General features: G+C 41.6%; 2 pseudogenes, besides 1 other annotated feature; both read right to left on the reverse strand.

Annotated features, from left to right (window-relative positions):
- Window positions 1,452–1,710, reverse strand: VN1R24P (vomeronasal 1 receptor 24 pseudogene; annotated as a pseudogene).
- NMD3P2 (NMD3 ribosome export adaptor pseudogene 2) lies at window positions 2,653–3,604 on the reverse strand (annotated as a pseudogene).
- Window positions 3,910–4,128: a silencer, noted in NCBI's record as "fragment chr7:56571036-56571254 (GRCh37/hg19 assembly coordinates)". NCBI's record gives its function as "represses an EF-1alpha promoter that drives an FKBP-Casp9 reporter gene in an ReSE screen in K562 erythroleukemia cells {active_cell/tissue: K562}" and the evidence as "EXISTENCE:reporter gene assay evidence [ECO:0000049][PMID:32094911]".

Raw genomic sequence — 21,774 nt, forward strand, 5'->3', positions numbered from 1 at the left:
AGACCAGCTTGGGCAACAAAGCAAAAGCTGTCTCTACAATAAATAGATATAAAAAAAATAAGCCAGGCACAGTGGTGTGTGCCTGTAGTGTTAGGTACTGGGGAGGTGGAGGTGAGAGGATCTCTTGAGACGAGGAATTTGAGGTTGCAGTGAGCTATGATCAGCACTGAACTCAAGCCTGGATGACAGAGAGATTCTGTCTCAAACACACACACACACACACACACACACACACACACACACAAAACAGGCATGTTTTGCAAAGACTCAAATAGAAATTGAACAACGGAAACTTAAATAAATTTAATATACAATGTATGGTTTAATTATTAAACCAAGTTAATAACAACAGGATTAGTGAACTAGAATACTGAGATGAATAAATAAAAGAACTACAGAAAAACAAAATGATCACAATACAAATATGATTGTACATGTACAAAGAATAAAATGAGATGAAATCAAACACATTGGTTTCACTAGCTTACATACAAATAACAAATCACACTAATAACAAATATTTATACATTTCTGAAACTGAATATCAGATAGGAACCCTTGAATGCTGAAGTGTATTGTGATTAAAAGTGACCACCAACTAAAAATACTCAACAGAAATAAAAGTCAAACTGCGTAACATGAAAGAAAAGAAAAAAATATTTAAAACCATGAGAGAGAAAAGCAGGGAGAATCAATGAAGGTGAGAGCAAAGTCTCCACAGCCTGTGTTCAGCTAGAAAACAGAGAAATAAGTAAGAGTGCTGAGAGGTTACTGTTCAACCAATAATTAGATACTTCACTAACATATTTTGAATAAGTGAGGATGCACTAAATGATTTCCAAAGGCAAAAAAATGAGGAATCTTATTACCAACATGAGCTTATTAAGAATACACTTCAAAAAGAAAAAAATTTAAAATGAAGTTCAAGGAATCAAAATGAAATGCAAGAAACTGCAAACATATTGGGCTATCAAATCATGGTGGACAATGAACTAAAGGATCCCTCAAGTCTTTGGCAGCATCAGTTTTCAAATGATTAACATAAAATAACAGTGTTAAACTCTATATAATGTAATGAAATAAAATATCAAATTTTCTGATACTTCAATAATTTTTTTTTTTTTTTTTGAGACGGAGTCTCGCTCTGTCACCCAGGCTGGAGTGCAGTGGCGCGATCTCGACTCACTGCAAGCTCCGCCTCCCGGGTTCACGTCATTCTCCTGCCTCAGCCTCTCCGAGTAGCTGGGACTAGAGGCGCCCGCCACCAAACCCGGATAATTTTTTTGTATTTTTAGTAGAGACGGGGTTTCACCGTGGTCTCGATCTCCTGACCTCATGATCCTCCCGCCTCGGCCTCCTAAATTGCTGGGATTACAAGCGTGAGCCACCGCGCCCGGCCGATACTTCAATAATTTAACTGGTGTTAGAATATCTTTTTCAGATAATTATTTTCAAAGAAAAAATATGTGATACTTCTGTCTCATCATTTGCAGAATATCAATTATCCTTTTTTCAGACCTTATTAGCACCAAAGGGTTCACAGTGGCATAGGCACTGGTCACACGCCTCTGGACACCCAGGATGACTGGGTCATAGGTTGATATCGGGATCGAGTAGGATGAGAGACTCAAATCCATCCAGTACGTGACCACAAAGAAACTCACCAACAGCAAGATGGTCTTGGCGGTCCTTTTTTTCTGGAGAGACTCTTGGGGAGACTTTTTTTTTTTTTACTTGCTCAATCTCTTTATTTAGTGGCACACATAGAATGAATGAATCAGCTGTTAGTTGTGGCATACTTAGTAAGTCTGATCTTGCCTATAGAAATAAGATCTTAATACTTCATTCTCAGAACACTTTAAAACCTAAGCCACAGTTTTTCTTTCAAGGATGTGGAAAGCATTCCTCATTCAAATCTGATTAATGGTTTTATAATGTATGTACCTCATTTTTACTAGTCATTATCTTCATGCTGGATTCTAATGTTCTTTTTGATGGTGGCGTGTTCAATGATAGAAACTTACAGAGAGAAAATTCCTTCCTTCTCAATTTATAAACAAACATTTTAAAAGCAACATTTTTGACGTAGTAGGAAGACATTTATATGACATATGCAGCTACTGCCTTAAATTGGCAAAAATAACAAAAGAAAAAATTGTTATTTAATCTTTAAATAATGAGTCTCTATTTGCTACAAATCTATAAATATTTTAAATATATTTCCTTCTACTGCAATAAAAATTAAAAGACAACCCTCTGTTTAACAGCTTTTGAAGATGTTAATTTTATAAGGAAATAAAAAAGATTGACTTGCCTCCCGAATATCCAGTGATAAACTGAACCCTAATTTCCCTACCTCAAGAACATAAAAATGATGTAAAGTGGACCAAAGTATGTAACAATATTAACAATATTAAAAATGATTTTTCATATTGTCTTTCACTAAAGTAATCAATGTAAAAAGAATGTAAAAATGTTTTTGCTTGAAGATTTAGTGAATGTCCAAGGAATCACAATTTTTTAGCTTTTACATCCAGGGTACTATACCATGTGAAAATACTATAGTGCCTCATATAAAAAAGCACAGTGATAAAATTTCACATGTAAAATAGCCTAAATAACAATAATAATTACATTCTCCACAATCGTTTATTATCTAAAACTTCAAAGCCCTCCATGTTTTTCAGTGCTTTGAGTGAGCAATCAAAACAATCGTGTTTATTCAGGTTTAAAACTTAATTTCTCCTCTTGAAATCTGGAGGCAGAGATGGAAGAGACACTTAAGGTCATCTTGTCCAACTTCTTAAGCCCACGTATGTGGAAACAGTCTACAACGTTTCATTATATCGTCATTGATGCACCTTCTTCACCAGTGGCATCATGGGAAATATGAAGGTCTTCAGGCATCTCAGCCAGACTAATTCGAGGTGCTCTTCATCATCATCGCTTTCCACAGGGATGGTTGACTCTCTGTAAATGTTGACATTTTTTCTAATTGCCTCATCTTTTTCAAGATCTTCAAGAAAATCTTGGTATTACCTTTCATCATCTGTATCCATGTTCTCTCTCTCGCAAGCTCCTTCAATTTCCAGTTTCTACATCACTGATGTTTGGTCCAGTCTTAGTCCTTCTTGATTCATACCACATCTGGAACTCTATCTGAGTTCATTTTATTGACATGCTCATCATTTAAATTACAGCTGGCCAAATCAAACCCTAACACCAGCTCTCCAGGATTTAGAAGATGTCCCAAATGAGTACGACAAAAATACTGTTTATCTGTATTCATTTCAGATGTCTTCTGTACCCAGACTTCCCTGAGGGTATGCTTTTTTACATCATTCCAGCATCTGCACCACATTTTATATCTCGGACTATGCTGCGTTCCATCACAATAAACTCCTCTAGCTGTTTGGGGTGACATAAACTATTGAAAGGGTGACTCCAGAAAGTACTCCCATCAATATCTGCAACTTGTAGGATGTTTGGATCAGTGAGGTGAATGGCACTGGTTACTCAGATACACACACAAATCTGGTTCATATTTCCCAGGCTTTGTACCAGTTTTGGAGACAGACAACTTTATCCTTGCATATTGGAACAAGTGTGTGTGTGTGTATGTGTGTGTGTGTGTGTGTCTGTAGACATACACAAACGTGTAAAGTAGACTCAGAATTGCTAGTCCATACCCTTTTGGGAAGCAAATTGTTCAACTAGAATACAGTGTTTTTGTATAGTTCTTGAGTTTTACAGTATCCAGTTAAAGTACTGTTTTCCAAAATTGCTTAGGTCAGGACCTTCCATTCTCACACATAGAATGGGATATAGTTTATCTTAAAAAAAAATAGGCTGGGCATGGTGGCTCATACCTGTAATCCCAGCACTTTGGGAGGCCGAGGCAGGCAGATCACGAGGTCAGGAGTTCAAGACCAGCCTGGCCAATTTAGTGAAACCCCATCTCTACTGAAAATACAAAAATTAGCCAGGTGTGGTGGCGGGTGCCTGTAGTCCCAGTTACTCGGGAATCTGAGGCAGGAGAACCGCTTGAACCCGGGAAACAGAGAAAGAAGTGAGCCGAAATTGTACCACTGCACTCTAGCCTAGGCGACAGAGGGAGAGTCTGTCTCAAAAAAAACAAAAAAACAAAAAAACAAAAAAAAAACACCAAAAAATTTAACACATGCTACAACATGCATTAACCTTAAGGACATTATGTCAAGTAAAATAAACCAGTCACAAAACAACAAATTCTAAGTGGTTCAGCTTTTATGAGGTACCTGGCATAGGTAAATGCATGAAGACAGAAAGTACAATAGTGGTTGCCAAGGACAGGGGGAAGGGAAAATGGAGATTGTTGTTTAATGGGTACAGAGTTACACTTTTCCAAGATAAAAAATGTTCTGGAGGTGGATGGTTATGATGATTGTACAGTAATGTGAATACATTTATTACTTCTAAAATGTACACTTAAAATAGATACAATGGTAAATTTTATAGTATGTGTGTTTCACCACTATTTTAAAAAGGGAAGTTGTCAGCTTTAGTATAATAATAGGCAAATACTATAAACCAAAAAATAGAAAGTAATTAATTATCATTGTGTAAGAATACACACAGTTCTTAAATAATATTTTAAAAAATATTACTAACTGATAGATGATTGATTCAAACACAAATAACATGAGAAAAATAAACTTAAGCATGAGAATTTTATGTGCTACTTGGGAAGGCTTCTGTAAGTATAAAATAAAACATCAAAGTAATTTAGGATAAGATTAATACATTTCAATGTTATTTTTTCTAAAAGTTTAAACAGCAACAAAGTGAAAATTAATTAGAGACTATATAATGAATTACAGTGTATTCTGTAAGCAGATAATTTATTTTAATAAAAACTCCAACAAAACAAAACTAACAAAAGTGGGCAAATTATTTTAAACACAAACAAATATTGCCTAAAAATAAAAGTTCTCAAACCTATTCATAATTTGAGAAAGGTGATTGGATGTGAGATGAGAAATCTATTTAAATAATTTTACCCAATACATAGGCAGTAAAAATTAATTTTTTGAGGCAGGTTCTTGCTCTGTCACCCAGGCTGAAGTGCGGTGGCATGATCTCAGCTCACTGAAACCTCAGCCTCCCAAGTTCAAGTGATTCTTGTGCCTAAGCTTCCCAAATAGCTGCAACTACTGGTGTGCACCACCACATCAGGCTAATTTTTGCATTTTCTTTTCCATAGAGATGGGTTTTGCCATGTTGGCCACGCTGGTCTTGAACTCCTGGCCTCAAGTGATCTGCCAACCTCAGCCTCCCAAAGGGCTGAGATTACAGGCATAAGCTGCTGCACTCTGCATAAAGATTAAATATTTCTGAAGGCATCCATTGAAAGAAAATGTCAAAGTTGGTAAAATAGGGGAGAACAAAAAGTGGTCCCAAGGAGCCAATGCTACAACCCACAGCTTTCCCTGAAATGGCAAAACAAATCTAGCCCCCTGGGTGAGATTTTGCTAATCAAGGAAATTACCATAAGGAGGCTCACCTGGATGTGAAAAGCAGTGTCCAGAAAAATGAAGCCTCTCTCATAGGCCTGGATTTGACCTCATACCTCTAACCTCCAGTGCAACCACCATCATCTTTTCCACATCTCCCCCATGAAGTCCCCACAGCAACAGGAGGAATTCTAGTCAATTATCTCTTCTGAAAGGCCCTGTCCTTGAATTGTCTCTTCTCTTAGACTCTCAATGGTTCATGCAGCTATTTTCTTTTCTTTTCCTTTTTTTTTTTTTTGAGACAGGGCCTCACTCTGTTGCCCAGGCTGGAATGCAGTGGTGTGATCTTGGCTCACTGCAGCCTCCACGTCCCAGGTTCAAGCGATTCTCCTGCCTCAGCCTCTCCAGTAGCTGGGATTACAGGTGCGTGCCACCACGCCTGGCTAATTTTTTGTATTTTTAGTAGAAATGAGGTTTCACTATGTTGGCCAGGCTGGTCTTGAACTTCTTAACTCAGGTGATCCGCCTGCCTCAGCCTCCCAAAATGCTGGGATTACAGGCATGAGCCACCACACCCGGCCCATTCAGTTATTTTCACACAGAGCAGACATCCATTGTCTGAGACATTAAAGTTTAGATTCCAACCCAGGTTGCACACTTATGCTCTGAGTGTATAGTGAACTGATTGCTATGGAGCAGGAACAGTCCTCAGGCTTCTAAGGTGAAACCACAGGAGAACTCCAACACACACGACCCCACTTTCACATTTGGATAACCAACACCAAAGCCTACTTAAAACCATTCAGACACCTGTGTCTCTGACTGCATCTTCTGTGGGCCAATATCCTTGCTGGAGAAGACACACAATATGCACCCAGATATTGGTTCTCCAAGTCATTTACCTGAATAAGCAGCATTGGAAACACATGAGAACTTGTAAAAAAAAAAAAAATAAAAGAATATTCTTGAGCCACGGACAAGAACTGTAGAGCAAGACATTAAGGAGAGGCCCAGTAATCTGTGATATTTCAAACCCTCCAAGTGATCCAGATGCACACTAAATTGAACAACTTCTGCAGGAATGAAGTAATAGCTCATCCCTGAGTTAACAAATTATACAAGGAATATACCACAGGCATGTGGCAATTTTGGAGTTTTGACTCAACACTCAAAAAAATATAAATAAAAATCAATTCGATTGAAGATATAGCCTTCATTGACTTTTCACTCTTTTCTGTCTCACTTCTCTCCCTGTCCTCTTTGTACTTCCTGGGATCACCTCCCAAATCAACCTCTTGCACTTATTAAGTATCACAATTTTCTAATGGAAAACAAATGATAATTTATTCACTATTTTATCAAATACAATAGAAAATTCATATGACAACCGAGTAGCAGATGGTATATTTGATAACATTTTTATTATTGTAATGTGCTTGATAAGTTTTATTATAAGGCCATAAATAACAATCAAACAAGTAAACAGATTTTCTATTTTTTTTTATTATTATACTTTAAGTTTTAGGGTACATGTGCACAACGTGCAGGTTAGTTACATATGTATACATGTGCCATGTTGGTGTGATGCATCCATTAACTCATCATTTAACATTAGGAATATCTCCTAATGCTATCCCTCCCCACTCCCCCCACCCCACAACAGGCCCCAGTGTGTGATGTTCCCCTTCCTGTGTCCATGTGTTCTCATTGTTCAATTCCCACCTATGAGTGAGAACATGCAGTGTTTGGTTTTTTGTCCTTGCGATAGTTTGCTGAGAATGATGGTTTCCAGTTTCATCCATGTCCCTACAAAGGACATGAACTCATCTTTTTTATGGCTGCATAGTATTCCATGGTGTATATGTGCCACATTTTCTTAATCCAGTCTATCATTGTTGGACATTTGGGTTGGTTCCAAGTCTTTGCTACTGTGAATAATGCCGCAATAAACATACGTGTGCATGTGTCTTTATAGCAGCATGATACATAATCTTTTGGGTATATACCCAGTAATGGGATGGCTGGGTCACATAGTATTTCTAGTTCTAGATCCTCGAGGAATCGCCACACTGTCTTCCACAATGGTTGAACTAGTTTACAGTCCCACCAACAGTGTAAAAGTGTTCCTATTTCTCCACATCTTCTCCAGCACCTGTTGTTTCCTGACTTTTTAATGATCGCCATTCTAACTGGTGTGAGATGGTATCTCATTGTGGTTTTGATTTGCATTTCTCTGATGGTCAGTGGTGATGAGCATTTTTTCATGTATCTGTTGGCTGCATAAATGTCTTCTTTTGAGAAGTGTCTGTTCACATCCTTCACCCACTTTTTGATGGGGTTGTTTGTTTTTTTTCTTGTAAATTTGTTTGAGTTCATTGTAGATTCTGGATATTAGCCATTTGTCAGATGAGTAGATTGCAAAAATTTTCTCCCCTTCTGTAGGTTGCCTGTTCACTCTGATGGTAGTTTCTTCTGCTGTGCAGAAGCTCTTTAGTTTAATTAGATCCCATTTGTCTATTTTGGCTTTTGTTGCCATTGCTTTTGGTGTTTTAGTCATGAAGTCCTTGCCCATGCCTATGTCCTGAATGGTATTGCCTAGGTTTTATTCTAGGGTTTTTATGGTTTTAGGCCTAACATTTAAGTCTTTAATCCATCTTGAATTAATTTTTGTATAAGGTGTAAGGAAGGGATTCAGTTTCAGCTTTCTACATATGGCTAGCCAGTTTCCCCAGCCCCATTTATTAAATAGGGAATCCTTTCCCCATTTCTTGTTTTTGTCAGGTTTGTCAAAGATCAGATGGTTGTAGATGTGTGGTATTATTTCTGAGGGCTCTGTTCTGTTCCATTGGTCTATATCTCTGTTTTGGTACCAGTACCATGTTGTTTTGGTTACTGTAGCCTTGTAGTATAGTTTGAAGTCGGGTAGCGTGATGCCTCCAGATTTGTTCTTTTGGCTTAGGATTGTCTTGGCAACGTGGGCCCTGTTTTGGTTCTATATGAACTTTAAAGTAGTTTTTTCCAATTCTGTGAAGAAAGTCATTCGTAGCTTATGGGGATGGCATTGAATCTATAAATTACCTTGGGCAGTATGGCCATTTTCACGATATTGATTCTTCCTACCCATGAGCATGGAATGTTCTTCCATTTGTTTGTATCCTCTTTTATTTCATTGAGCAGTGGTTTGTAGTTCTCCTTGAAGAGGTCCTTCATGTCCCTTGTAAGTTGGATTCCTAGGTATTTTATTCTCTTTGAAGCAATTGTGAATGGGAGTTCACTCATTATTTGGCTCTCTGTTTGTCTGTTATTGGTGTATAAGAATGCTTGTGATTTTTGCACATTGATTTTGTATCCTGAGACTTTGCTGAAGTTGCCTATCAGCTTAAGGAGATTTTGGGCTGAGATGATGGGGTTTTCTAGATATACAATCATGTCATCTGCAAACAGGGACAATTTGACTTCATCTTTTCCTAATTGAATATCCTTTATTTCCTTCTCCTGCCTGATTGCCCTGGCCAGAATTTCCAACACTATGTTGAATAGGAGTGGTGAGAGAGGGCATCCCTGTCTTGTGCCAGTTTTCAAAGGGAATGCTTCCAGTTTTTGCCCATTCAGTATGATATTGGCTGTGGGTTTGTCATAGATAGCTCTCATTATTTTGAGATATGTCCCATCAATACCTAATTTATTGAGAGTTTTTTAGCATGAAGGTTGTTGAATTTTGTCAAAGGATTTTTCTGCATCTATTGAGACAATTATATGGTTTTTGTCATTGGTTCTGTTTATATGCTGGATTACATTTATTGATTTGCATATGTTGAACCAGCCTTGCATCCCAGGGATGAAGCCCACTTGACTGTGGTGGATAAGCTTTTTGATGTGCTGCTGGATTCGGTTTGCCAGTATTTTAATGAGGATTTTTGCATCGATGTTCATCAGGGATATTGGTCTAAAATTCTCTTTTTTGGTTGTGTCTCTGCCAGGCTTTGGTATCAGGATGATCCTGGCCTCATAAAATGAGTTAGGGAGTTTTTCTATTGATTGGAATAGTTTTTCTATTGATTGGAATAGTTTCAGAAGGAATGGTACCAGCTCCTCCTTGTACCTCTGGTAGAATTCAGCTGTGAATCCATCTGGTCCTGGACTTTTTTGGTTGGTAAGCTATTAATTATTGCCTCAATTTCAGAGCCTGTTATTGGCCTATTCAGAGACTTAACTTCTTCCTGGTTTAGTCTTGGGAGGGTGTGTGTTCCAGGAATTTATTCATTTCTTGTAGATTTTCTAGTTTATTTGCATAGAGGTGTTTATAGTAGTCTCTGATGGTAGTTTGTATTTCTGTGGGATCAGTGGTGATATCCCCTTTATTTGATTCTTCTCTCTTTTCTTCTTTATTAGTATTGCTAGTGGTCTATCAGTTTTGTTGATCTTTCCAAAAAACCAGCTACTGGATTCATTTATTTTTTGAAGAGTTTTTTGTGTCTCTGTCTCCTTCAGTTGTGCTCTGATCTTAGTTATTTCTTGCCTTCTGCTAGCTTTTGAATGTGTTTGCTCTTGCTTCTCTAGTTCTTTTAATTGTGATGTTAGGGTGTCAGTTTTAGATCTTTCCTGCTTTCTCTTGTGGGCATTTAGTGCTATAAATTTTCCTCTACACACTACTTTAAATGTGTCCCAGAGATTCTGGTGTGTTGTGTCTTCGTTCTTATTGGTTTCAAAGAACATCTTTATTTCTGCCTTCATTTCGTTATGTATCCAGTAGTCATTCAGGAGCAGGTTGTTCAGTTTCCATGTAGTTGAGCGGTTTTGAGTGAGTTTCTTAATCTGGGTTCTAGTTTGATTGCACTGTGGTCTGAGAGACAGTTTGTTATAATTTCTGTTCTTTTACATTTGCTGAGGAGTGCTTTACTTCCAACTATGTGGTCAATTTTGGAATAAGTGTGGTGTGGTGCTGAGAAGAATGTATATTCTGTTGATTTGGGGTGGAGAGTTCTGTAGATGTCTATTAGGTCCGCTTGGTGCAGAGCTGAGTTCAATTCCTGGATATCCTTGTTAACTTTCTGTCTCATGATCTGTGTAATGTTGATAGTTGGGTGTAAAGTCTCCCATTATTACTGTGTGGGAGTCTAAATCTTTTTGTAGATCTCTAAGGATTTGCTTCATGAATCTGGGTGCTCCTGTATTGGGTGCATATATATTTAGAATAGTTAGCCCTTCTTGTTGAATTGATCCCTTTACCATTATGTAATGGCCTTCTTTGTCTCTTTTGATCTTTGTTGGTTTAAAATCTGTTTTATCAGAGACTAGGATTGCAACCCTTGCCTTTTTTTGTTTTCCATTTGCTTGGTAGATCTTCCTCCATTCCTTTATTTTGAGCCTATGTATGTCTCTGCACATGAGATGGGTCTCCTGAATACAGCACACTGATGGGTCTTGACTCTTTATCCAATTTGCCAGTCTGTGTCTTTTAATTGGAGAATTTAGTCCATTTACATTTCAGGTTAATAGTGTTATGTGTGAATTTGATCCTGTCATTATGATGTTAGCTGGTTATTTTGCTCGTTAGTTGATGCAGTTTCTTCCCAGCCTCGATGGTCTTTACAATTTGGCATGTTTTTGCAGTGGCTGGTACTGGTTGTTCCTTTCCATGTTTAGTGCTTCCTTCAGGAGCTCTTTTAGGGCAGGCCTGGTGGTGACAAAATCTCTCAGCATTTGCCTGTCTATAAAGGATTTTATTTCTCCTTCACTTATGAAGCTTAGTTTGGCTGGATATGAAATTCTGGGTTGAAAATTCTTTTCTGTAAGAATGTTGAATATTGGCCCCCACTCTCTTCTGGCTTGTAGAGTTTCTGCTGAGAGATCAGCTGTTAGTCTGATGGGCTTCCCTTTGTGGGTAACCCGACCTTTCCCTCTAGCTGCCCTTAACATTTTTTCCTTCATTTCAACTTTGGTGAATCTGACAATTATGTGTCTGGGAGTTGCTCTTCTCGAGGAGTATCTTTGTGACATTCTCTGTATTTTCTGAATTTGAATGTTGGCCTGCCTTGCTAGATTGGGGAAGTTCTCCTGGATAATATCCTGCAGAGTGTTTTCCAACTTGGTTCCATTCTCCCCGTCACTTTCAGGTACAGCAATCAGACGTAGATTTGGTCTTTTCACATAGTCCCATATTTCTTGGAGGCTTTGTTCATTTCTTTTTACTCTTTTTTCTCTAAACTTCTCTTCTCGCTTCATTTCATTCATTTGATCTTCAATCACTGCTACCCTTTCTTCCAGTTGTTCAAATCAGCTACTGAAGCTTGTGCATTCATCACGTAGTTCTTGTGCCATGGTTTTCAGCTCCATCAGATCATTTAAGGACTTCTCTACATTGGTTATTCTAGTTAGCCATTTGTCTAATCTTTTTTCAAGGTTTTTAGCTTCTTTGTGTTGGGTTCGAACTTCCTCCTTTAGCTCGGAGAAGTTTGATCGTCTGAAGCCTTCTTCTCTCAACCCATCAAAGTGATTCTCCATCCACCTTTGTTCCATTGCTGGCGAGGAGCTGTGTTCCTTTGGAGGGGGAGAGGTGCTCTGATTTTTAAATTTTTCAGCTTTTCTGCTCTGTTTTCTCCCTATCTTTGTGGTTTAATCTACCTTTGGTCTCTGATGATGGTGACGTACAGATGGGGTTTTGGTGTGTGTGTCCTTTCTGCTTGTTAGTTTTCCTTCTAACAGTCAGGACCCTCAGCTGCAGGTCTGTTGGAGTTTGCTGGAGGTCCACTCCAGACCCTATTTGCCTGGGTATCAGCAGTGGAGGCTGCAGAACAGCGAATATTGCTGAACAGCAAATGTTGCTGCCTGATCGTTCCTCTGGAAGCTTTATCTCAGAGGGGTACCCGGCCGTGTGAGGTGTCAGTCTGCCCCTACTGGGGGGTGCCTCCCAGTTAGGCTACTTAGGGGTCAGGGACCCACTTGAGGAGGCAGTCTGTCCATTCTCAGATCTCAAACTCCGTGCTGGGAGAACCACTACTCTCTTCAAAGCTGTCAGACAGGGACATTTAAGTCTGCAGAGGTTTCTGCTGCATTTTGTTCAGCTATGCCCTGCCCCCAGAGGTGGAGTCTACAGAGGCAGGCAGGCCTCCTTGAGCTGTGTTGGGCTCCACCCAGTTCGAGCTTCCCGGCTGCTTTGTGTACCTACTCAAGCCTTAGCAGCAGTGGGCTCCCCTCCCCTAGCCTCGCTGTCACCTTGTAGTTTGATCTCAGCCTGCTGTGCTAGCAATGAGTGAGGCTCCGTGGGGGTGGGACCCTCTGAGGAAGGCGAGGGATATAATTTCCTGGTGTGCCGTTTGCTAAGACTGTTGGAAAAGTGCAGTATTAGGGTGGTAGTGACCCGATTTTCCAGGTGCCATCTGTCACCCCTTCCCTTGGCTAGGAAAGGGAATTCCCTGACCCCTTGCACTTCCCAGGTGAGGTGATGTCTCGCCCTGCTTTGGCTCACACTTGGTGGGCTGCATCCACTGTCCTGTCCCCACTGTCCGACGAGCCCCAGTGAGATGAACCTGGTACCTCAGTTGGAAATGCAGAAATCACCCGTCTTCTGTGTCACTCATGTGGGGAGCTGTAGACTGGAGCTGTTCCTATTCAGCCATCTTGGAACCACCCCTTGGCTAATTATTTTTTATTTGTTGTAGAGATGGGATCTTGCTGTGTTGCCCAAGCTCATCTTGGACTCAAGCAAGCCTCCCACCTTGGCCTCCCAAAGTGCTTGGATTATAGTCATGAACCACGGTGCCCAGCCCAGAGACACAGTGCGCAGCTTGGCAGAGCGTGTGATGGAGCCAAGGACAGGGCTGTCAACTGGCTCCACAGCAGGGTCAGTGGGAGAAGAAGGAAAGGAAGCTGTTCTTGGGGGCTTCCCCATACTATTGACTCCAGGTATACTTGGCATCAATGGAGGACGTGGGGCTGAGACACTGGGTCCAAAGTTTGCGATCATGCCAGGATCCCAGAGCAGCAGAACTATGGTTGCTGATAGGTGTCATGACACTCAACAAGAGTGTCAACCTTTATCTGGGAGTTTTGGAGGCCATTGGTCATGAAAAGCTAGGAAGGCTGAGGTGGGAAAGGAAGTAGAGGTTGGTAGTCCCTCAGATCTTACTCTTACCCAGCTCTGTTTCTTCTGTCAAAAGGCCTTTCCTTCTCATCTTCATGGCACCCACTCTAGGAGCTAAGTCCACTGCTTCATAGTCTGATTGCCACCCTATGCATTCTTTGCCTCATGTTAATTCCCTGGAGAGGCAGTTCTGGGAAATCATTAAGAACCCGATTTAAATATCCCAGCTCTGTGACTTCGTGTATGTGACTTCATCTCCCTGTGTCTCAGTTTCTTCATCTGTGAAATTGAGATAATAATAATAATAAAATATACTTCACAGGATTGCTGTGAGAATTAAATAATGATATAGTAAAGCCCTTAAAATAATGCTTGGTATATAGTGTCATATATGTGTTTGCTGCTGAAGCTACTTCTGCTACCATTACATAACTCTTCCTGCTCCTCCTCTTCCTCCTCCATACAGTCCAATCCCTTCAAGCCTCCCTGCAGCCTCCAGATGCAAGCACTCCCCAATCTTCTGATGTTTAACCCACAAGTCCCATCTCTCCTCCATTCCAATGGTCACCACCTAATTTCTAGTCCTCAATGCCTCTAGCCAAACAATGGCCTTCAGATTGTCCTCCTTTCCTGCAATTAAGTTCCCTTTTGAGCCATTTTCCAATCTGCCTCTGAGAGAGTTATTTTTAGAAAAATGCAGATCAGATCATGTCATTTTGTCTTATTTTCAGTAACTACATTGCCCGTAGAATAAAGGTCAAACTTAATCTGACACCAAGCCATCTTCTGAACTCTCTGTGTACCTTTTGCTCTAAATATATCCAAATTCTTGCTCTTTTCCAAACCTATCCATATTTTTCCTTCTGCCTAGAAGCAATGAATATTTCCTTCCCTCCCTCCCTCCCCCTTCCTCCTTCCTTCCTTCCTTCTCTACTTTCCTTCCTTCCTTCTCTACTTTCCTTCCTTCCTTCTCTCTCTCCCTTCTTTCCCTTTCTTCTTCCTTCCTTCCTTACTTCCTTCCTTCTCTCTCTCCCTTCTTTCCCTTTCTTCTTCCTTCCTTCCTTTCTTCCTTCCTCTTCTCTCTCCCTTCTTTCCCTTTCTTCTTCCTTCCTTCCTTTCTTCCTTCCTTCTCTCTCCCTTCTTTCTTCCTCCTTCCCTCCTTCCCTCCCTCTGTCCTTCCCTCCCTCCCTCCTTCCCTCACTCCTTCCCTCTCCCTTCTTTCTTCCTCCTTCCCTCCTTCCCTCCGTCCCTCCTTCCCTCCCTCCCTCCTTCCCTCCCTCCCTCCTTCCCTCACTCCTTCCCCTCCTTCCCTCACTCCTTCCCCTCCTTCCCTCACTCCTTCCCCTCCCTCCCTCCCTCCCTTCCTTCCTTATTTCCTTCTTCCCTGTCAACTGCACTTTTATTCAAAAATTAAAACCCAGATGGAGAGAGAGAAGTCTTCCCCAGTTCCCTCAGTGCATATATACACAGTAGATGGTAATCCTTGAAGACAAGGACAGAATCTTATTCATGCTACTCACACATGGGTACAAATGAAACAAGTGAGTAGAAAATCATGTTCTGCCACATAAGGTGGTGTCTTAGTCCATTTTGTGTTGCCATAACAGAATACTTGAGACTGGGTAATTTATAAAGAAAAGAGGTTTATTTAGCTCCTAGTTCTGCAGGCTGGTAAGTTCAAGGCATGGCCCTGGCTTCTGGCATGGGATTCTGTGCTGAATCACAACATGGCAGAGAAGGTCAAAGGGAAAGCAGACATGTGCAAGGGGATAAAATGCAAGGGGCATCCTGGCTTTATACCCACCTGCACTTGAGGGAACTAACCCGGTCTTGCCAGAGTGAGAAGTCACTACCAGGAGAACGTACAAAGACATTCATGAGGAGCCCACCCCCAGGAAACAAACACCTCCCACTAGGCCCCACCCCCCAACACTGCCACATTGGGGATCAAATTTCAACAAGAGTTTTGGTGGGGACAAACTTAAACTGTGGCAGATGTCATGTCTGAAAGTGAGTTATGGGAAGTAAGGTAGCTTCAGTAATTTATGACAGAGAGGGAAACTTTTCAGGTAATGCTAAATAAGGATGTTTCCTCTTTCTGTCCAAAATGTCAGGTACCTTGCAATAGCCAGAGAGAAAGCATTCCAAACGACAGCAGTGGGTACAGAGGAGTGGAACTCTCTAGGTTTCTGCTTTGTCAGAAGTGTGCACTTTCAAGTCAGGAATACCTGGAGCAAGAGATTCAGGAAAACAGAAGCAGACAAACTCCAGCTCAAATCACTGGGTGCTGAACTGTGAGCAGCTAGGGATAGAGATCCTGGAATTATTGGAGGGGAGGATGTCAGCCTTGATCCAAAGAAATGGCCAAGTGCACTTGAATTTGCGTTGGATGTGAAATATTGTGGAACCAGAAAACAAGAGCAAAGCTGGTGGATTAAAGGTGAAAGGGCCTATGCAAGGCAGAGCTGAACTACTCCAAGCTACCAGGAACTATGTTCTGGTCACTATTGCTGCTGAACAAGTCATCCCTAACCTCAACAGATTCTCATGAATTTGCAATTTTCTGCATGAATCTGCAACTGGACAGGGTTCCTTGGGAAGGCTGGTCTTTGCTCTTTGTGGCATTAGCTGGGAGCTGGAGAATCTACTTTAGGACAGCTCTCTCATATGGTTGGCAAGTTGGTTCTGGAAGTGAGCTGGGAGCTCAGGGGGGGATGAGGGCCAGGGGTCTTGGTTTTCCTCCCTCTCGGCCTCTCCACAAGCTGCTCAGGCTTCCTTACAACATGGTGGCTTAGTTCTGAGAGTGAGCTCACAAAAGAAGCAGGTGAAGCAGAGTGCTAGCCAATGTTGAACAATTGGCTTCCTGGGGTAGAAAAAGCCCTAATTTGCAGTGTTTGCTAATTTCCAGGGAGTAAATAATCCCAACATGGCTAATTTCAAACTACTGAACATAGAATTGGGAAGAGATGTATACAATTAGCTTTCAAGAGCTGGTATAATCTCCAGCACCTCACTGGGTGGAAACTGCCCTAGCCTTGGAGGTCACATAGTGTCACTTGTACTGTAGTCCATAGACATGTCCAAATGCAAGAGAAAGGAAGTTAGACCTCTATATCTTGATGGAAAGAGTATCGAAGTACCATTGTAAGAAGAACTGTGGGATGGGAGATATTTTTGCTACAATTTAGAAAGTACAGTAGGCTGCAGAATGGAGATGTTAATGCCTAGAGAAGCCAGGTAGAGAATGAAAATTGGTAGGGAGGTCAGGTGTCAAGTGATGAGAACAATTGACATGTGCCCTCCATGCCCTGGGAGAAGTAGGTGGGGAGGGCTGGGTGTGGTGGCTCCTGCCTGTAATCCCAGCACTTTGGAAGGCTGAGGTGGGCGGATGACTTGAGGCCAGGGGTTCGAGACCAGCCTGGCCAAGATGGTGAAATTCTGTCTCTACTAAAAATCCAAAAAAATTAGCCGGGCATGGTGGTGCATGCCTGTAGTCCCAGTTACTTGGGAGGCTGAGGCAGGAGAATCACTTGAACCCAGGAGGTGGAGGTTGCGGTGAGTTGAGTTCACACCATTGTACTCCAGCCTGGGTGACAGAGTGAAACTCTGTCTCAAGAAAAAAAAAAAAAAGGTAGGCAGGGAGCAGGTGCTGGTGAACTGGAGACTACCACGTTGGGTGAGCCAAACACTCAAACACTTCTATGGATAGAGCCAGCCCTCAGGCAAGTTGTTGGCAACATTTAACACAGTCCCAACTCAGAGGTGACTAGAGGAAATAAATTAGTTGTTATATGTTTAAACTTATAAACATATGTAATATGTTTAAAATATAAAGCATATTAACTTGGCAGCCTGGATTTAAAAAAACAAATGGCTGAGTGCAGTGGCTCATGCCTGTAATCCCAGTACTTTGGGAGGCTGAAGAGGGAAGATCACTTGAGACTGTTGACCAGTCTGGGCAACATAGTATGATCCCATCTCTACAAAAAATAAAAATAAAAATAAATTAGCTGGACGTGGTGGCACATGCCTGTAGTCCCAGCTACTGGGGAGGCTGAAGTGGGAGGATCACTTTGAGCCCAGTAGTTCAAGATTGTACTGAGCTATGGTAGAGTCACTGCACTCCAGCCTGGGTGACAGAGTGAGAACCCAACTCTAAAAACAGAAACAAAAACAAAACAAGCCCTGCCTTTTAGTTATTTTTAAAAGTCATCAGAAATGAGTAGACCCAAGTGCCATTTGCATTCAAGGCTCTGATAGATAGTTTCCCCATGGAATGCTGCTTAAATCAGTCCCATTTCATTTTGAGCATATCTAATATTTCCAAGGCACAGTGTTTGCTTTGTATGTATGTATAACATGTACACATCTTCTATCAGTACACACATACATATATACATATATATGTATAATTAGCACATGGAGTCTTGCTCTGTTGCCCAGGCTGGAGTACAGTGGCATGATCTTGGCTCACTGCAACTTCCACCTCCTGGGTTCAAGCGATTCTTGTGCCTCTGTCTCCCGAGTAGCTGGGATTACAGGTGTGTGCCACCATGCCCGGCTAATGTTTGTATTTTTAGTAGAGACAGAGTTTCACCATATTGTCCAGGCTGTTCTCAAACTCCTGACCTCAGGTGATTTGCCTGCCTTGGCCTCCCAAAGTGCTGGAATTACATGTGTGAGCCACTGCACCCAGCCTCTTGTACTATTTTCCATATGCATCTTTGCTGCAGAGCCCAGAATGAAGAAATGGCAGCACAGTTGGCTGATTTAGCCGAGGGTTACACATAGCTGGTGACCTAAGGGGTCAGAGTGCTGTTATGAGTTGGAATTCAGGGTGGGGTCCTACAAATCCACTCTGTCCTTTGCCACCGCACTGGGCAATGCCTCCTGTGACTCACGGTCAAGCTGCATTACTTGCAGCCTGATTAGCTGTGATTAGCCAGTCCCCAGATCCTTCGAACCCTGGTTTTCCTTTCTTCCTGCTAAGATGACTTTTTTGGCAATGTTTGCCCCTGCCAGAGAGGAGGCGCAGGAACAACAGTGACATTCACAGTGGGAAATTTTCATACTGGCTGGAAGCATCCACTAAAATTAAATGTACGGATTATTTGTGGGTTTCATTTTTCAGACTATTTGTGTTCCCCAGTGACACAAGTAATTGGAAATTGACTATAGTAGCTCTTTGAGAAGATTATGGAAACACGGTGAACAACGTATGCAGCTGGGTGAATTGGGAACGTGGGTCTTCTGATTTTTTTATTTTTATTTTTTATGTTTCCGAGATGGGATCTCACTGTCACCCAGGGTGGAGTGCAGTGGCGTGATCTCGGCTCACTGCAACCTCCACCTTCTGGGTTCAAGTGATTCTCCTGTCTCAGCCTCCCAAGTAGCTGGGATTACAGACACCTGCCACCATACCTAGCTAATTTTTGTATTTTTAGTAGAGACAGGGGTTTCACCATGTTGGCTGGTCTCCAACTCCTGGCCTCAGGTGATTTACCCACATCGACCTCCCAATGTGCTGGGATTACAGGCCTGAGCCATCACGCCCAGCCCAGATCTTCTGATTTTTTATGTGTGTGCGCTAATAAAAGGTTTTAGCATACAGTTTTCAATTAATTCATATTTACTGGGAATCTTCTATATTCAGTTAGGGAATTTGAAGTAGGCCATAGTCCCTGATCTCTAGGGAAGCAGGGTCTACCTGTGACAGATTATACAGCAATACAATGTCAGTAGCCACTCAATACAATGGTTTAAGCCAAGAAAAAACTAATATTTATTTTAGGGTTATAGAGTGTACAGTGCCTGATTGGAAGAGACATGAGAAATTGACAAATGGCCTGAACAAACTATAGATGAGGTAGAAAAATGGGTTGGTCGGATCTGGGAGGGCTTCAAGAGGAAAATTCTTCACAGCCTGAAGAGCAGGTGGTAGCACCAGGGGGTGGAGGAGTGAGACACATGGGGGCGAGGGATTGGGGTGAGAAGAGCATTCCTGAGTAGAACCTCAAAAGCAAAACCTCAGAGTGAAGAAAGTAGAAGACAGTTTTTTTTTCCTTTGTTGCCTGGGCTGGAGTGCAGTGGTGTGATCTCGGCTCACTGCAACCTCCACCTCCCAGGTTCAAGCGATTCTCCTGCCTAAGCCTCCTGAGTAGCTGGGACCACAGGCACGTGCCACCACGACTGGCTAATTTTTTTGCATTTTTAGTAGAGATGGAGTTTCACTGTGTTAGCCAGGATGGTCTCGAACTCCTGACCTCGTGATCCACTTGCCTTGGCCTCCCAAAGTGCTGGGATTACAGGCGTGAGCCACCGTGCCCGTCCGGAAGACAATTTTTTTTATGTATAAGTTTGTTTTGGATTTTTAGTTTCTTGAAATATTTACTTATTGACTCTAAATGGACTTATTATATTGGTAGATCTGCAAGAGAGTACTATTATTTTTAAAATACAGGAAAAAGGCAACTTTTTTTATCAGACCAGAGTGGCTGGAATGGAATGTTCTGGAAGGTGGGCAGCTGGCAGCAGGATTGAGTAAATTCCTTTGAACCAGACCGTGGTAGACCCAGTAACCAGGTCAAATAACAAAATGTTTTTCTAGGGCGAGATGTTGTTTTCATGAAAACGTAGCATTGCTACATGTTTTGTTCATGCCCAAGTGTGCTGTCTGTGAAAAAATAAATTGCTTATTTATTTTTTGAATATGCATATGTTAACAAAATTCCAAAAGACACAAAAAGGTATGTAGCCCCAATTAAGTCTCCTGCTCACCCCTGCCCCCTGGCAAACCAGTTCTTTATTCTAAGACAATTTAGCAGTTTTTGTTAGGAGTTTTTGTTATATGCTATTTGCCAACAACTAAAAGGTCTCTGGGCTTAGAAAGAGCCAGTATTATCTGCATCATTTCGAGTTGTGCTCAGTTTTAAAATTCTAGTCCTCAACTGCAGCCCAAAGCCAGCACTGTGTCAAGTGAACACTGGTTGCAAGAATTGTCAACACTGCCCATGTGACATTTATTTATTTATTTTGAGATAGAGTTTCACTCTTGTTGTCCAGGCTGGAGTGCAATGGCGCAATCTAGGCTCACTGCAACCTCCACCTACTTGGTTCAAGCGACTCTCCTGCCTCAACCTCCCAAGTAGCTGGGATTACAGGTGCCTGCCACCACGCCTGGCTAGTGTTTGTATTTTTAGTAGATACAGGGTTTTGTCATGTTGACCAGCTGGTCTCGAACTCCTGGCCTCAGGTGATTCACCCATGTTGGCCTCCCAAAGTGCTGAGATTACAGGTGTGAGCCACCGCGCCCGGCCAATGCAGCATTTAGTACATAAGTGCATGAGATTCTTTTGGGCTTTTGGGTTCTAAGGCACAGAACATAGTCAAATCATTTCAGGCCCAAAAAGGAGCTGTTGCCTTGTAAAGAGATCTCACAGAATCCGAGGAAAGAAATCAAAATACAAGCAGTCTCTGGGGAATGTGTCTGGGCATGACAAACTGAAGCCTGTCTTCTCTTTCTCTTTCTGATTGTGTGCTGTGGGTTTGTGCAATTCATCTCTTTGTGCAGATTAGCCCTCTTTTTGTTGTTGAAAATAGTTTGCCCTCTTCCCTAAATCGATACGACCTTTCAGCTCTAGTGCTCACCACCCCTGTTGGCAAAAACTTCTATGCCTTTTAGCTCAAATTCTTGTGAGAATTGGATTGTACCAGTTTGTCTCCCTGAGCCGGGCCACACACAAGCAATGGCTTACACTGGCTGGCTTTGGTCACATGTCCCTCCCTGGTCCCCTGAGCTGTTATTTGAGCAGGAGCAAGGGAAGGTCAAATGGCAGGTTAGAGGTCCCTTTCAGGCAGTTCAGAATTACCCTTTTGACCTTATCTTGTTTCCACTGCTGTGTGTAACCTCCTTAAGGACAAAGACCCTGAGGGTGTCTAGCTTGGCACTGAACACATAGTTTGATGCGCAGCAAATATTTGTTAGTTTTATTGATTTTTGCCCCCCTCTTGGAAAACACTATCCTTCAGAAAGGACTGAAAAGTCTGCATTTTAGATATTTATTCAACTGCCATTAAAGGAGTGTGGTGAAGCAGATAGGACTCAAAAATCAGTTACTGCCAGGAGGTAATGATTTGGAGCTGTGTGTTCCTCTTTTGAACAGGATCAATAGATTATTTTCATTAGAAACACAAGGCAAA

The sequence above is a fragment of the Homo sapiens genome, chromosome 7 (genome assembly GCF_000001405.40).
Source record: "Homo sapiens chromosome 7, GRCh38.p14 Primary Assembly".
Lineage (NCBI taxonomy): Eukaryota > Metazoa > Chordata > Mammalia > Primates > Hominidae > Homo > Homo sapiens.